The sequence below is a fragment of the Homo sapiens genome, chromosome 4, assembly GCF_000001405.40.
Source record: "Homo sapiens chromosome 4, GRCh38.p14 Primary Assembly".
Lineage (NCBI taxonomy): Eukaryota > Metazoa > Chordata > Mammalia > Primates > Hominidae > Homo > Homo sapiens.
The window spans coordinates 148,535,372-148,554,273 of NC_000004.12; the positions used below are offsets into that span (position 1 = coordinate 148,535,372).

At 37.9% G+C, this 18,902-nt stretch overlaps 1 long non-coding RNA gene across 1 annotated transcript in view; it reads left to right on the top strand.

The window, feature by feature from the left end:
* The first annotated feature begins 1,149 nt into the window (after positions 1-1,149).
* Positions 1,150-18,902, top strand: part of LOC107986195 (uncharacterized) — a 496,338-nt gene continuing 478,585 nt past the window's right edge. Inside the window, exons 1-2 of the long non-coding RNA XR_001741441.2 lie at positions 1,150-4,689; positions 9,093-9,213. This is a non-coding gene — a long non-coding RNA (uncharacterized LOC107986195). The remainder of the gene's footprint in view (positions 4,690-9,092; positions 9,214-18,902) is intronic.

Below are 18,902 nucleotides of genomic sequence, written 5' to 3' on the forward strand. Positions count from 1 at the left end.
TGCTGATGTTTGCTGGGGGTCTGCTTTGGTTGCCTTGGTTTTTCCATACCTGGAGGTATCTCCAGTGAAAGCCGTGAAATGGCAAAGATGGCAGCCAGCTCCTTCCACTGGAAGCTCCATCCCAGGAGGGTACTGACCTGTTGCTAGCCTGAACACACCTGTAGGAGGTGGTTGGTGACCCCTTTTGGGAGGTCTCACCCAGTCAGGGGAAATGAGATCAGGGACCCTTTTAAAAAAGCAATCTGGCTGCCTTTTGGTATAGCAGGTGTGTTGCATTGGGGGTGGAAGTGGGACCCTTCCTCTTCCAGACTCTATTCTCCAAGCCAGCAGGCTAGAGAGGCTGAGTCAACTGAACTGCTGCAGAGATGGCGGCTTCCACCCCCCACTCCCCTCTGTGCCAGGAGCTCTGTCCCAGGAACAGATCAGAGCTCTATCCATAGAACCCTGGCTAGAGTGGCTAAAGCTTCTTCATGAAGGTCCCACCCAGTGAGGAGAAATGGATCGAGGTCCTTCTTAAAGAAGCAGTCTGGCCATGATCTGGCAAGGCAGCTGTGGTGTGTTGTGGGAGACCCTTCCGTCTTCAGACGATTTGTATTCTTCATAGCTGGCAGGCTGGAATGGCTGAGTTTACTGAACCCCAGAGATGTGGCTGACCCTTCCCACCCCCTCCTTTTCTTTTGAGACAAGGTCTCACTCTGTCACCCAGGCTGGAGTGCAGTGGCACAATCCGGGCCCACTGCAGCCTCGGCCTCCTGGGTTCAAACAATCCCCCCACTGCAGTCCCCCAAGTAGCTGGGACCGCAGGCATGTGCCACCACACCTGGCTAACTTTTGTACTATTTTGTAGAAATGGGGTTTCTCCATGTTGCTCAGGCCGGTCTTAAACTCATGGGCTCAAGCAGTCTGCCTACCTTGGCCTCCTAAAATGCTGGGATTACAGGCATGAGTCACTGCACCTGAGCTTCATACTGTATTTTTACTATACCTTTTCTATGTTTTGATACACAAATCCTTACAACTGTGTTACAGTTGCCTACAGTGTTCAGTACAGTCACATGCTTTACAGGTTTGTAGCCTAAAAGCAATAGGCTATCCCATGTAGCCTAGGTGTGTAGTAGGCTACGCCATCTAGGTTTGTGTAAGTATGCTCTGATGTTTTTAACAAGGATGAAGAATGTATCCTTATCTTTAATTGATACATGACTGCATTAGGAAAACCTCTCCTACTCATAATTTCATTTTATACTTTCATTCAGTTATAGGAAACTATTTTTAGCAAGACTAAGGTATGAAAAAAAGTTTTTACAATTGAAAACTTTCCACTATTCCAGCTAAGATGGAGCGGGGTTGCCTAGAATTACTAAATCTGTGCAGGGGAAGAGTCGTGAGGATTCACCTCACCTATTCCCTCTGCCACCCCTTCCCCAACAGCATGAGCTCTGGGAAGAAGACCTGCTCATCTCTGCTGCAGAGGACAAAGGCAAGACTCTTTTCTAGAGAAGGAATGTAAGGGGAAGCTAAAATGTATCCTGAGACACTGGACTGGTTAAAAGTCATTTGTTTTCTGAAATTAAGGTGTTGTCAACAACGATTTTTAAAATAAATAATTAGACTCTTTATATTGAAATAGTTTGATTATTCCTTTGAAGCACTAAGGTTATTCTGTAGTAACCTGAGAAATATCTTCATTGAAGAGATGGCTTGACCTGGTTTTTTGTGCCAATCTCCTTCCTTATACCAAAACAAAAAAAGATTTTCTTTTAAGATACTGCAAGTGTCCAAGACATAGAACTTTTTCCTGGAAGAAAGAGTCTTCTTTTAAAAATCTCTTTTTGGTGCAGGATTGGGCAATAATTTCACTGTCAGAACCTTTAAACTTATCGAAGTGCTACCTGAGATTCTGGAATTAGGGTGGTCTTTTATCTTTGGTGTTCCCAGAAATCACGTAATGACAGAGTGAGGGTAATAGGAGTTCACTGTGCTCGGTTTCCCAGGGTACACATTACTTCTTTGTTTCATGTAAACGTAGCTAAAATGATAGAGTATAATGACTCCTCTTAGAATTGTATTTTTCTTTTATTATAGAGATTGGTAAACACTTTAAGTGATACAAAGAGCCAGAAGAAAAGCAGTGCTTTTTTAAAAAATGTAAAGCCTTGTGGGACTTTAAATATCAGGTTGAAGGAAGACGGGGTTGTTGTTCAGATTGTAATGTCTGTGACCTTTGGGTGTTAGGCCTGGCTCACCTGAAACTGCTTGAATTGTTTATCCTTTTCACATCTTGATTGGTAAGGCTACAGTTTAAAACTTTCCCTTTTTTCACACAGAGACATTTCAACATCTCTTGACTACTTGGTACCACAGCTATTCAGTATGGGCGTTCCTTTGAGATCAGTAGAAACAGCCCAGTACCCACATTTTCTAACTACTTACTTCCTCATTAACATCTCCTACTTTACTGAAACTTCTGTCTTAAATGTTAAAGCCAATGGTCTTAAATGTTAAAGCCAATGATCTTAATCAGTACTCATTCCCCAAAACCGCTATTCGAATTGGGCATGGCTGACCAACTCTTCCCTCTTCAAACTCCCCTTTGACATGTCTGATGCCATCACTCTAGTTCTACCCCCTACTTTTCGCCTTTCATATTTTATTTTTGTTGCAAGTTTTTTCCACTTTCCTCCCTCTTTAACTTGGTGCTTTTCACTCTCCATGTTTTTCTGAAATATGAGCTCTTTCTTATGGCTTTATCTACTATTTCCAATCTGGTAACTGAAAAATCTAAATCTCTTGCTCTGATTTGATGTCAGAGTTGCACTCTAGAGTTTCCCAGTTGCTGCCTGTATGTTTATCACTTGTGTAATTAGTGCTAGGTGAAGTGTAAGTTGTGTTTCCCATGAGTGAGTTTTATTGTAAAGTTACTAGGAGCTTTTAGCTTCTAGTGGAGACAGACATTCACTTTGGAACAGATCTTTGCTTTCTTAAGTTATACAAATATAAGGCTGATATTTAATCTTGGGGTGGTTCTGAGTGATAGTGAAGTTATCTGTCACGGAGATGCCAAGTGTTCTGCTTCAGAAGATAAAAATGTTCTTTTGCATCTGTGTGGATACTGCAGATAAAATTTTATGACAATAAATTTGAAAATTCAGATGAAATAAACAACCACAATTTATGAAAACTGGTGCAAGAAAATAAAGTCTGAATAGAATAGTTATATTTAAGAAATTGAATCTCTCATTTAAAACCTCCTTGGAAAGAAACATCTAGGTCCACTGAATGCTCTAAATATTTAAGGAGGAAATATTACTAATAGCACTAATAGCCAATTACCAGCCCCTTATTTAAAAAAGGATCAACAGGCTAATCTTACTCATGAACATAAAGGCAAAATCCTAATACAATGTTAGTCACAAGAATCTCACAGTATGTTAAGCATACAAATCATATCACCATACAAAAAATAAATTCAAAATAGATTGTGGGCCTAAATGAGAAAGATGACCTGATAAACATCTAGAAAATAACATGCAGAATATTTTAATGACTAAGATATTCTTAAACAGGCAAAGATTTCTTAAATAGGACATAAAAAGCTCTAATCTTAAGCATATAGATTGATAAATTGGACTACATTAAATTTAGGACTTTTATTCACTAAAAGATAGCCTTAATAGAGTGAAAAAAATGTAAAGCTGTGGACTGTAACATAAAAATCATGAAGAATGGTGTAGAAAATATTTATGTTTCTATGACCCAATGTAAGAATAAATGTTTATATGATATATATTACATAGATAGTTACTGCCTGCTGTGTCTCTTGTTTACCATTCTCTAATCTAATTACTCGCCTTCTCTTTCTATCCCCTAGGGTTAAGCACTTTTCTCAATGTTGTGTTCATCTTTTCCCTGCAGGTTTTCATAGTTTTATAAGACATGTACTTCCAAATAATCTATAATAGTTTAGTAGTTGGGGTCCCAACAGGAAAGTGATGACACACTCAACTGGGTAAATGGAGAAGTGTTTATAAACATACTATTTGCAAAGGTGTGGTAAAGGTGTGGAAACACCAAAGGATAAGGTTAGACTCCAGAACTAGTGGCTTAGGAATTTCATCACCATCCCTATGTCTCAAGAGTAAGAAAAGGTACTTAAAGAAAGAATGTGGTGAGAAAAGCCTGCCTGGCAGGAGCTGGGACCTTTGGTCAGGATAAACATCAGTCTGCGAAACCTTGCAGGGAGGAAGTCAAAAGAATGGACTCTGATCTCATACTCTTGCCTTATAGTGCTCTGCATTGGCAGAACTCAGCTGAAATGCAGAAAGCAGGTGAGCCCAATGATGCAGAGGTCAGAGTTCAGCCTCACAGAGCGCAGAGTATAGAGGAAGAGGAGGAGTGCAGCCGACAGAGCTGCACGCCTCTGTCAAACATCCAGCATTAATGCTGTTTGCATGTTATGCCATCATATTAAATGTATCATGCACTCTTTCTATCCTTTGGCCACTTGCTTTCTCCCTAATTTTCCAGAACTTCTTCTGGACTTAGTATTTTTACTAATATACTTTTTTTTTCTTTTTTTCTTCCTAGGCAAATAATGATTCAAGATGCACATTTTGCTGTAGTCAATCTGGTCTTTGTTAAGGTTTTTAGTTGCAAACAACAGAATCCAACTTTACTATTTTAAACAGAGTAAGACATTTTTTAGATAGTGGGTACATCATAAAATCTCTGCCGCCACGTGTGATGGATTGTGCTTACATCCCAGTAATGTGGGAGGTGGAGGTAGGAGGATCTTTTGAGATAAGAAGTTCACGGCTGGGCTTGGTGGCTCACACCTGTAATCCCAGCACTTTGGGAGGCCAAGGGTGGGCGGATCACAAGGTCAGGAGTTCAAGAATATCTTGGGCAACATGGTGAAACCCTGTCGCTACTAAAAATACAAAAATTAGCCAGGCATGGTGGCGCACGCCTGTAGTCCCACCTACTCTGGAGGCTGAGGCAGTAGAATTGCTTGAACCTGGGCAGCGGAGGTTGCAGTGAGCCGAGATTGCGCCACTGCACTCCAGCCTGGGCTACAAGAGTGAAACTCCATCTCAAAAAAAGAAAAAAAAGAAGTTCACAACCAGCCTGTGCAACATAGGGAGACCCTGTCTCCAAAAAACAATCTAAAAAAAAAAAAATAGCCAGGTGTGGCACATGCCTGTAATCCAGGAGTTGAGGCTGCAGTCAGCTATGGTCACAACACTGCACTCCAGCCTGGTGACAGAATGAGACCCTATCTCTAAAAATTATGTTTAAAATAATAAAGTCTCTACAGTAACCACAGAATTAAACTTGCTTACTTACAGCTAGGAACAATCTTCAAATTCCAGTGTGGCACTACTGTACTAGACAGCTTGCTGCCAAATATAGAGGCTGAGAAGTTTTCAGAGGATACTAGAGCTCGGACTACTGTCACGGCAGCCTCTGGCACTGACTGTCCTTGCTGCCCTTGCTGGCATCAACTCAACACTGCACTTTCTCATTCACCTCATCTACTTCTGAACTCATGTCTCATGTCAGTGCATTGGAGAGTCCCAGGTCATGAGTTCCAAGAGAAGCTGGGAAAGCAATTTTTTAGCTTCTGCTTTGGGGAGGCAACAATTCTCCAACATAGGAAGGATTAGAAAGCTCCTGGACAGCCAAGGAAGTGTGACAAATGTCTATCCATCCCTGACAAGCCATCACTTTCAAGCTAATTCCTGCCACGCCCAACTACAAGGCCTTGAGCCTGGGTCCAACTGTGTACTTCTGATCCATTTTCTGAGAGTACTTGCTTTTGAGTGAAGCACCTGGACTTCTCGGAATACTTTTGTCTCTGGGTTTCTTCAGCACTAATTAGTGTTGCCATTCAATTAGCCATTGACTGGCTTTTAAATGATATTTGTGATTTTGCTAAACTAGTATAAGATAACATTTTATTATTGGCCCTTTCATATTTTCATTTTATTATTTGGTCTTATTGCTTCATAAAAGTTTTAGGGATCCTTGGCAAGGGGAGTGACTTTTCTTTTCACAGGAATTAGCATACTGCTGTGAACCTAGGAGGCATGAAATAAGCACTTAGTTTTTATTGTTCTATGGTTTGAGCCTTGAGGGATAGAAATTATACTTAGGTAATTTTTAACAAATATATGCATGTATAATCTGCTGTCCAGACCATGATGCAAAGCAATTTACACAATCCCAGTTCCTAGTTCTCCAGAAGTATATGTATTGCTTATAAATACATTTTAGAGTTTTCTCCCCCTCTCTTTCAACTTTGTCTTAGATTATACACAGGGTGAAGGCTGGCAATTATGTGGTATTTATAAAAATCTAAGGGGAAATAAAACTTGGATAATATAATATTTAACCTTTTTGAATCCAAATTTATAAAACCAGGAAGACCTTTTGTGGGAGAATTTATACTGAGCAAGAAATATGAAGTTGATTAGGTAGAATCTGTCAAAGAACTTTTGTGGTAGGAATCTATCAGTAGCTCTCTTTGGGATTCCTAAAATATAGTCTTGGGAATAACCAACTGACCAACAAATCTCCAAGATGCTTGATGCTTGATGTTCATTCCCAGAAAGTAGGCAAATGAACAACTGTGTTTACTACTCATCTTTTTTGGTGTCTTGCCTCTAGCTGATGTGGTGTGCTGATGAATATTGGTGTTTGAAAAGCACATGGAGAGAGCGAGCACGAGGCAGTGTGTCATGCCACAGACAAGCCTCCTAAAATCCATGCTGTGATCCTGTACCTGCACTCCTAGAATACATTTAGGGCACTCAGGAAAGATGCTAATGAAACATATTAAAAGCTTGGCAGAATAAACATGGGACCACAGGACTGTCATAAGTCTAGGTAGAGCAAAATCATATTCCAGCTTGCAGAAAGAAAGCAATGTAGCCAGTTATTTTGATTGGCAATAGAGAGCTGAAAGCAATCATGATTTTTGTTATGTAGGTCATGTGGAGATCCAAGAGATCCAGCAAGCAGGAGTGGGAATGGACTCAATCAGAAGTCCAGCATAAACTGAGGGTTTCCGGAGTGCTGACCTGTCTGTCAGCATTTGTTAAACACTTACTAGGTGCAAAACAGTGGTCTAGGTGATATTAAGGAAGAGATGCTATCCCTGCTCTGAAGTGGAAAAAGAAACATGCATACAACAAAGTTCCATTGTGGCAGTGACTGTGCATATTGCTATATTCCCAGCACCTAGAACAGTGCCTGGTGCTTCAATAAATAGCCAGTAAATATATGAACAAATTATTTCTTGAAAAGTTCTATTACATCCCCTTGTGAGTGATATTTAACTTTAAATAGGTAAGTCAGACAGTGAGGGCCTAAATTAGCTAGTGTGTGTATTTTCTTACTGAAGCACGTGGCTTTGAGACTGGGCAGGTGTAGAGAATGTATGACAATAGGATACTCATAAAGTTGTGTGCTAAGTAAAGGATGGCAAGCAAAAATAGTGAGCAGAAGAAAAACTATAAAGAGCTCACAAAGTGAAACTTCATATGATTCAGTGTAATTCCGGAATTCCAAGTGAAAATAGGCAGAACAGGTTTACTTGCATTAGTTAGAAGTATAGCTATTTATGAATAATGGTAATGGGTAGAGTATTATTTTAAATAGTGCAGTTACAAATAGCTGTGGGATCTGCAAATATGGCTACAGCTGCCAACCATAGAATACTCTTTATATGTGTATAGTGTGGAAAGAACAGTTGGTCAGGCAAAGGTTTTTTCAGCCACACCTGTTCACTCAGATAACAATCGCCACCAGTAGTGTTATCTCTCTATATAAAGATAAATGTATATTTTATGCGATCTATGTCTATAACTATACACACAACTTATAAATTAGGTGGAAGTTAGATCGGCTGATTTTGTTCTTTTGAAAGAAGAATACAATCCATTTTAGATACTGGGAAGAAACTGACAAATTTAACTTGCACAGAGGGATCTCTTAGTTGAGATGAATCTTTCTGAGTCATTAGCATGGTTTCATTTATGAGTACAATACCAGTAGAACCTTGTTATGAAATGACTCATTAATTGTATCAAGTCAGTTATCTCATGGGTCAAATCACATCTCCTGAAGTATAAGAACCACATATAATAAAGCCTGAAACAATGCATTTGGCCCATTAATCATTCACTCACTCAATAATTCATTCATTCACTCATTCAACAAATATATATCAAGAGCCTCCTAAACTGGAGGGATTATAGGCAATACAAAGATGAATAATTCATAATCTTTGTCTGTAATTATCCTATGAAAACTAGTTCTAACTTGTGAGATTGGTATCCTAGAAGAATCCTGTTGAATTTTTTGTGGCGATGTTAATTCTTTTATGAAATATTTTCATCCTAGGTTTTTTGAGAAACTTCTGTGGCATCCTTCTCAAAATAGTTTTTAGGACATCTAAAACATTTTATTAGCAAAAATAAAAGATCAGTAATAAGTATCAGTGTGCTATTTAGATTTTAAAAAACCTCATTATGTGCCTTCATTACAATTACCAAGTTTAAAGATGTGTAGCTTCAGGGTGAAAACTCATTAGAGCTGCTTGCTCTACTCAGAATTAATCCATGCTGTTAACTGTGATTGAAAATCAAGATACTTAATTGTTATGATTTAATATATGTCTGTTCACTCTAAAACATGCTTAAGTGTAGTATGTTTTTCTGAATAAAGTCACAGAAGAGGTAAAGTTTGCCTGCTGTGAGGTTCTCTTCATATATCAGAGATATTAAATGATTTCTTATTTAATTCTAGAAGGTGGTGACGTTAGTTACTTATTGTTGCATAACAAATCATCCCAAAACTTTGACTTAAAATAATAATCATTTAATTTGATGACAACTTTCTGGCTTAGTTGGGTGGCTCTTCTCTTCTGAGGCAGTTTTGTTAATATGTATAATCAGCTGGCAGCTCAAACTGTGCCTGGATAGTCTAGGATGATTTCATTTGCAAGTCTTTTGGATGGAAGATTGGTTAGATCTAGGGCCTTTAATTTGAGATGGCTCATTTTTGTCCCACATGGTCTCATTCTCCAGCAGGCTAACCTGGGCTTGTTCATATGGTGGTGGAAGATTTCCCAGCAGCAAGAGTGTTGGCTCCAGTATACAGACCTTGTCAAGTCTCTGCCTGCATCATTTGCATCTTTGACCAAACCAGGTAAAAAACCAAAACAAAAAAAGTCCCTAAAATTCAAGAAAGGGGGTAAAGATTCTCTCGCTTTTTGGGAGGAAAAGTCACATCACATAGGCATGTGCTTCCAGAAATATGAGGAATCTGTAGTAATTTATTTGTGATGTACCATAAGGTGTTCTACAATATTATACTTCATTCTCCTCTGTCAATGAGTGTCATTGAATATAATATCATGTAAATATTAGATGATCTGTAGATTGATTCAGGTTCTTGAAATTAAAGAAAAGAAGCAAATGTATTAATTTAGCTCCCTTAGGAGCTATTTTTGAAAAGTAATATTTACTTATAATTAAGGAATAAGAAACATTCATCAAGACAAAATAATAAAACATTTAAAAATTATTTTGAGTGGAATAACCAGGGTGAATTGATAGGGATAAAGAAAGGTTGAACTCTACCTTAGCCTTACCCCTTTCAGCCCCACCAAGTAAAACACTTACTATCGTTTAGTTGGTATAATATGTACAGGTCTTTGTTTTGTTTTTGTTTCCCTTTTCTCTGTTTTTTCCTGTTTGTTTTACTCCCTGTGGGCTATGCCTTTATCTGCACCCGCTTATATTATCATGACTCCCAGTGTATATCTCCGGCTTTGATCTGTCTCCTGAGCGACAGACCAATTTAATTCACTTTGTGATGACCTCTATGAAAATATCTCTTAGCATGGCCACATAAGAACTCATTGTCTTCTGCTCTAATCCTTTCTTCCAGCTATAGTCTCTAACAGTGAGAGGTAATGCCAACATTCATTACGTGTTCAAACTAAAATTTATTTATTTACTTATTTTGATACAGGGTCTTGCTCTGTCACCTAGGCTGGAGTGCAGTGGTGCTATCATGACTCACTGCAGCCTCCACTTCCTGGGCTCAAGTGATACTCCCACCTCAGCCTCCCGAATAGATGGGACTACAGGTGCATGCCACCACGCCCAGCTAATTTATTTTTATTTTTAGTAGAAATGAGGGCTCCCTATGTTGCCCAGGCTGGTCTCCAACTCCTCCTGCCTCAGCCTCCCGAAATGGTGGGATTACAGGCATGAGCCACTGTGCCCAGACAAAAAAGATAGCATTTTATTATTATTATTATTATTATTATTATTATTTAGAGGCGGGTATATCAGTATTTTGCCCAGGCTGGTCTTGAACTCCTGGGCTCAAGTGATCCTCCCACCTTGGCCTCCCAAAGTTCTGGGATTAGAGGAGTAAGCCACTGCTATTCCTTCCCATCATTGCTCTCCACTCACCAATCTCCAAATTTGTGCTTCTTGCCCCTTCAATATTTCTTGATATTCAGCTCCTCCAGTTCCACAGCTTCTATCTTAATCAGACTCCATGGCTTATTTATCTGCTTCACATCTTCCCCAAATTTCTCCAATCCATCTAGAGCAATTGTCTAAAATATAAAACTTATCATGTCATTACAAGTCTTCCATCAATAAATCCTCATAACCTTTAGGATATGATCCACTTCATTATCTTGGCATACAAGTCTCTCGACGGTCTAACCGATGATGTAACTCTCAGCCAGAGGAAACTCCTTTCTTGTGTCCATCATAACATCTCTCACCTCTTTGTCCAAAGTGAACCCCTGTTCTTATTATCCTTCCTGATCCTCTTCCTTCTCAATGTGGTTAACTCTTACTCATTCTTCCAGAATTAATACAAAAAAAAATCTGCTTGGAAAGTATTCCTAAGTTAACATCAGACTTAAGTGAGCAGTCCACTACTTTCCCTTATAGTATATAACTGTCCTAAATCACATTCCATAGTTTTTAACTGGTGATTTACTTAGGTCATCTCCGTCATTGCTCTGCGTGATGTTAGCAGTTAACTCCGTCCCTGACACACAGTAAGCTCTCAGGACTCGAATGATGACTGAGATTGAACAAATTGACTGAATGAATGAGTGAGTAGAGGAAGGATGTGACAGAAGTGTAATCATATTACAGTTGGCCATGTGTCCTGGCTGCATCTTACTCAATGCATGCACATGGCAGAACTGTTTATTACTGAGAAGTAATTTAGCTAAGTCTGGGTGTTGGAAGGAATGCACTTGGAGTTTAAGTCAAGTTTCAGCACAAGGTAGGAGTAAGATCTTGTTGACAACAAAAACAGCTCTAGTTCTGAAAATTTAGGGATCATTTATTTTTCTGTAATTGGAAAAAAATTCCTCTCTGTTAGAAGTTTGTCTCCTTAAGCCCAGGATTTCGAGACCAGCCTGGCAAGATAAGACCCTCCTTGCTCCCTAATTCTGAAAAAAAACAAAAGACAAAAAAGAAAAAAAAAAGAAATTTGTCTCAATACCATTGTGGGGATTCATTTTCTTTGTCATTTGTTGCTAACTGCTAGTCTCTGGATTCTCTCTAAATTCTAATCATTTTCTAATCCTTGATATCATTGAGTATTTTCTCAGAGAATTTAAACTAGTTTTAATATTTGCGTAAGTGAGGCCAATTAACAATGTAAATTTAATGTAAATACTTAACGTTTTTCAGGACCTAAAATCATTTTTGAATATCTGCTGTTTTAAATTATTCAGATCAATGCTTCTAGCATCTAGCTGTGGATAATGGAATAGGAGATGATTAGTAAATTGAAGCTGATTCTCTGAATTTTTAAGGAGTTGAGTGGCAGTGATGCTTTTTCTAGATTCTCATTCTGGGGTATTCTGCGTTGAAGGACAGATTATTCTAATATAGATGAAGTTCTCTTTATTTGAATTTTTATAATACATCAAAAATGTTGTTAAAAATATTTCTATCATTGGTGTGTGTATGTGTAATAGTGGTTTCCTATTACCTTAGGAATACTTACTCAGTGAAAAGAAGCACTATATCATTAATATTTTGTCCTACTTTCTTTCTTAGCCACAGTGATCTCCTAGTCAACTACCCTATTCTGTCCAGCAGCTAATTCCTTCACCACTCATCTTGTATTTCTGGCTGCTCTATTTCCCCCTTTATGTTCAGGCAGTTACTTTTCCTTCCTATTTCACAAGAGACCATCTTCTTGCACTTTCTACAGACCTCAGTAACTCTCCATCAGCACATAAACACACTCAAGATTGTCCCATTAAAATCTCTTTTAAGAACTCAAACAATTCAATAGTAACAAACAACCTGATTAAAAAATGGGGAAAGAACCTGAATAGACATTTCTCAAAAGAAGACATACAATTGGCCAAGAGATATATGAAAAAAATGCTCAATATCACAAACTATCAGAGAAATGCAAACCAAAACCACAATGAGATATCAACTCACACCTGATATCATGTTTATTATGAAAAAGGCAAAAGATAAATGTTGGTGAGGATGTGGAGAAAAGGGAGCCCTTGTGTATTGTTGGTGGCAATGTAAATGCGTATGGACATTATGGAAAACAGTATGAAAGTTCCTCCAAAAAAATAAAAATAGAACTGTCATATGATTCAGAAACCCTACTTTTGGATGTATATCCAAAGGAAATAACACCACTAACTCAATGAGATATTTACACCCTTATGTTCATTGCATTATTATTCACAACAGCCAAAATACAGAATCAACTTAAGTGCCCATCGAGGATGAATGGATAGAGAAAACGTGGTGTATATATGCAATAGAATATTATTCAAACTTAAAAAAGATGGAAATCGTGTCATTTGTGACAACATAGATGAATCTGGAGGACATTATGCTAAGTGAAATAAGCCAGGCACAGAAAGACAAATACTGCATGACCTCACTCATATGTGGAATCTGAAAAAGTTGAACTCACAGAAGAAAGTAGAATGGTGGCTGCAAGGGCTGGGGATTGGGTGGGGTGGGAAAAATGGGGAGATGTTAGTCAAAGGGTACAAAGCTGTGGTTATGCAGGATAAATAAGTTCCGGAGAGCTATGGGGACTATAGTTAATAATATTGTTTTGTATACTTGAAATTTGCTAAGACATTAGATCTTAAATGTTCTTACCACACACACAAAAAATGATAACTATGTGAGGTGACTGATATGGTTTGGTTCTGTGTTCCCACCCAAATCTCATCTCAAATTGTAATTCCTATGTGTCAAGGGAGGGAGGTGATTGGATCATGGGGGCAGTTTCCCCCGTGCTGTTCTCCTGATAGTGAGTGAATTTAAAAATTACCCAGTCTCGGGTATTTCTTTATAGCAGTGTGAAAACAGACTAATACAGTGATGGTTATATTAATTAGCTTGATTATGGTAATTATTTCACAATACATACGAATATCAAAACATCATGTTGTATATCTCAAATATATACAATTTTTATTTATCACTTTTACCTCATAAAGCTGAAAAAAAGAGCTATAAGTTCTAAGGCTGAAAACTCTCGTCTCTTCTCTAGAGCCAGTTCCTTGAAAGGGTTGTGTATGTTCATTATTTCCATTCCTTTGCCTCTGTTCTACCTCCTATTTAGTCTACCACTAATTTCAATCTGGATTCTGACCCATCTCTCTACTTAAACTTATCAAGTTTCTGTTATCTTTGTGTCTAAATCCAGTGGGCATGTTGAAGTTTTCATTATATTGTCTTCTTGAGTATTCAGTACTGCTAAACATCCTCTGTCTGCAGAACCAGATTATCCAACAGGTAGATGAAGCAAATGCTTGAGGCTCTTGCAAAATCAAGAAAACCCTCCATAGGTACATCCAGATGATAGACTATTACTGAGTACTAAAAAGAAATGAGATATCAAGCCATGAAAAGACATGAGGAACTTTACATGTTTAACATATTACTAAGTGAAATAAGGCAATCTGAAAGGGCTACATACTGTATGATTCCAACTATCTGACATTCTAGAAAAGACAAAACTGTGGAGACAGTAAAAAGATCACTGGTTGCCAGGGTTTAGAGGGGAGGGAGGGATGAGTAGGAACACAGAGGGTGTTTAGGGCAATGTAATTCCTCTATATGCTGTAATGGTGGGTATGTGCCATTATAAATTTGTCCAAGCCTATAGAATATACAATATCAAGAGTGAACCATGATATAAACTGTGGACTTTAGGTGATAATGATCTGTTCATGTAAGTTCATCGATTGTAACAAATGTACCACTCTGGTGAGAGATGTTGATAGGTGGGGAAGCTGTGCATGTGTTGGGGACAGAGGATAAATGGGAACTCTCTATACTTTTTGCTTAATTTTGCTATGAACCTAAAACTGCTGTGAAAAATGAAGTCTATTAGAAAAAAAACCCTCCAGGATCTGATTTCTCTATACTTCTTAATAATACCTTCTTCATTCTGTACGTGCTGTAATTTTTCATATGAAATTACTTTGATTCTTTGAACTAGCCATGTTCTTGTTCATCTCTGAGTCGTTGCCCATCTTTTTTCCTTTACCTAGGATTCTCCGACTTTTTCTATTCAGTTGCTACCTTCTTCTCATCTTCTATCATTTATTGCATTTTATTGTTACTGCGTTTTCACTTGTCTGTCTTTACCAGACTCTAAGTTGGGAGTCCACCTTTCTTACTGTAGTATCTCCAGTGTCTTGCATAATGCTGGGCAAATAAAGAACCAAATAAATATTTATTTATTTATTTATTTTATAAATAGGCGATTTAGGGTATGAAACAAATTTCTTCCAATCTTACCTAGACCTGCCTTGGTTTTGTGTTCAACTGCTCTGAGCTCCCACATCTCTAAAAATTAATAATTGCAGGCCCTAGGTCGCCAGATTTAAGAACAACAGAAAATACAGAGAATCCAAATAAATTTTAATTTCAGACAGATAATACATAGTTTTTTAGTACAATATAATCATGTCCCCAAATGTGCAATACTTATATAATATTTAATTTATTATTTATGTAATATTTGGGAACATACACATAGTAAAATTTGATTCATCGTCTGGGATTCAAATTTAACTAGGCTTCCTGCTTTTTATCCAGATCCTACTCAGGCTCCAATAACTGCTTCCTGGTTACTAGAATCATTTGTTTAAACACAGATAATAGAAGCGATAACTGCCTTCATTTTGAGTTATCTGCAGCAAATTTCTGCGAGGGAACCTCCTTTCCCTTTGCAAATTTTTATTTTTTAGGGCTGTGGCAGATCATTTCTATATCTGCCCATGGAGAAAGTGTTTGCCATTCCAGGAGGAAAAGCTTTCACCTTTAAGCTATTTCCTTTTCTTTTGAAATGGTTTTATTTACAGATAATTCACATACCATATAATTTGCCCATTTAAAGTGTACCAGTTGATGGCTTTTAGTATATTCAGAATTATGCAACTGCCACCACAATTGACTGACAATTAAAAATTAATAGATTATTAATAATGCATAATTAATAGATTATCTATTAATAATGCATAATCAATAGATTATCTATTAATAATACATAATAGATTATCTATTAATTATGCACAATTAATAGAGTATCATTAATAATTAACAATTAATAGATTATCAATAATTTTAGCACATTTTCATCACTTCAAAAAGAAACCCTGTACCTATTAGCAGTCACTCCCCGTCTGCCACCCACCCTTAGCCCTAGGCAATGGCTAATCTACTTGCCTTCTAGATGGATTCACCTATTCTGACCATTTCCCGTAAATGGGATCAAACAAGATGTGGTCTTCTGTGACTTGCTTCTTTCTTTTAGCACAATGTTTTTAAGATTTACCCATGTTGTAGCATATACCAGTACTTCCTATTACTGAATAATAATCCATTGTATGGATATAGTACATTTTATTTATCCATTCATCAGTTGATGGACATTTGGGTTGTTTCCACTGCTTTTTTAAAGATTAGCATTCTAAAATTGATTTTTGTCAATTTTGTGTTTGGTCTGCTTTAGAAAAAGGAGAGAAAATATTCTCCTTGTTTTGATAGTTGTAGGATTTCATTTTGCTTTTGAAATTTCTATGGATCTCTTGATCTATCTCTGATAGTATCTAAATCTTTTTTTTCCCACATGAGAATTACATAAGCCAATAAAAGAATTATGTCGAATGCTGTCATATGCAGCTGCAGATATTGCCAGGCTGTACCATTCTAAAATGTCATAGAAACTTTAAATATGTGAATCCATGGTGCAACAGGTCTGTCCAATGTCACATTTCCCGTGACTACAGGGAATATCATAGATTTAAGCATTTGGAATGGATTATACTCTTTCACTGGCACACATGTGTAGGTTATGGTGGGAGGCTGGGGTTTTTATGTCATATAATGTTTTTAAGTAAGATATTCTGGGGCCGGGCGCCATGGCTCACGCTTGTAATCCCAGCACTTTGGGAGGCCGAGGCAGGCAGATCACTTGAGGCCAGGAATTCAGGACCAGCCTGGGCAACATGGTGAAACCCTGTCTCTACTAAAAATACAAAAATTACCCAGCATGGTGGTGCATGCCTGTAATCCCAGCTACTCGGGAGGCTGAAGCACAAGAATCGCTTGAATGTGGCTGCCAGAAGTTGTAGTGAGCCAAGATTGTGCCACTGCACTCCAATCTAGGCAATCCAGTGAGACTGTTTCAAAAAAAAAAAAAAAGGGATATTCTTATCTGGGCTGCAGATGACTGCACCCAGGGTGGCAAATCACAAATTTAAAACCAAAATGTATGAAAGCAATAAGGATGCTTGCATCTTCATAGGCAGTGAAATGTCATTTTGAAAATAAACAGCCTCTTAGAGAAGGTGAGTACATGACAGTCAACACTGATCATTGTGCTATTCAGACATATTAGTTATGTTGTCGTGAGTCACGTGGCTATGTTTACATTAACCCCAAATAATGGAAGCTTTGTAAAGTTAAATATAAACTTACTGTGCTTCTGTTATCACTGCGTGGATTTCTTTTTTTTCTAAAAAATTTTTTCCCTCACCCCAAAAATCATTAAAAAATGGTTTCTATCCAGTAAACTGTTTGTTGGGTAGAATGAACAGTTTAGTTGTTGTTTAAAGGAGCCATTATGCCCTGTGTATTTTTGCATAAATATACAAGGTAGTGAATACAAGGTAGTGATTTTCAAAGTCAGGCTTTGTGATGACCTAGAGAATATATAGTTATTTCAAGGGGTGTGACCAAATCTCAAAATACGGTGAGTATATATTTAATTTTAAAAAGTACATGCCTTAGTGCTTGTTTAAAAATATCAAAAAGTAGGCTGAGCACAGTGGCTCGTGCCTGTAATCCCAGCACTTTGGGAGGCTGAGGCAGGTTGATCACCTGAGCTCAGGAGTTTGAGACCAGCCTGGGCAACATGGTGAAACCCTATCTCTACAAAAAATATCAAAAAATTAGTGGGGCGTGGTGATGCACCTCTGTAGTCCTAACTACTTGGGAGGCTGAGGCAGGAGAACCACTTGAACCCAGGAGGCTGTGGTTGTAGTGAGCTGAGATTGCACCACTGCACTCCAGCCTGGGTAACAGCGTGAGACTCTCTCTCAAAAATAAATAAATAATAAATTAAATAAAAATTAAAAAAATAAAAAAGTAGGCCAGGTGCCATGGCTTATGCCTGTAATCCTAACACTTGGGAGGCTAAGGGAAGAGGATCACTTGAGTCCAGTAGTCTGAAACCAGTCTGGGCAACACATTGAAACCTCATCTCTATAAAAAATTTAGAAAATAACCTTGCATGGTGTAGTCCCAGCTACTTGGGTGACTGAGGCAGGAGAATCCCTTGAGCTCAGGAGTTCCAGTCTGCAGTGAGCCGTGACATCGCCACTGCACTCCAGCCTGAGTGACAGAGCGAGACCCTGTTCCAAAAATAAATACATAAATAAAATAAAAATATCACAAAGTGAAACAAAAACTGCTAGGATGTGAACTCTTTCAAAAGCTTGAGTGATATCTTCATCCATTGATACAACTTTAGAAATTGTGCTTTAAGCATTTGAAGCACCCTCTTTTTTTAATCATGCATACCTTGTTTATATCTGCCTTTATAAATATTATTAGAGTTGATGCTCAGGGACTAAACATCCAAGAAGCCAAATAGATCTCTGTGGTCCATTAAACTATGTACAGTCAGTCCTCCACACCTGTTGGTTCTGTATCCACAGATTCAACCAACCAGAAATGAAAAGTATTTGGAAAAAAAGCAATAAACATAACGGTACCACCGTAACACACAATTTACCTATATAACAAACCTGCACACCTACCCTGAACCTAAAATAAAAGTTTTTTAAAAATCCAATACAACCATTAAAAAATACAGATTAAAAAACTATATAGTATAATTATTTTCATAGCCTTTACATTGCATTAGGTATTATAAGTAATCTAAAGATGATTTAAATTATATGGGAGGATGTGTGCAGGTTATATGGAAATACAGCACCATTTTGTATAAGAGACAAACACTGAGTATTTTGGTATCTATGGGGGGCCTGGAACCAATCTCCCATGAATACCGAGGTACAACTGTACTTGTTGTCTGACTTACCATCAGAACATACTGAATAGTCATTGTCTAGAATTCAATATGTTACATTTCTGTGAATCTAAGATTGCATTGATTATGTCCCACCAAGCAAGAAGAAAGAGGTTAATTAATTGTAACAAATGGTGGGATGTATCCTGATGTCAGAGATGTGAGTGTGAGGGAAAACGTCCGTTTTAGCATCAATAAAAAGTATTGGCACTATGGGAAGTATCCAAATATACTCAGAAGGTAATTGCACA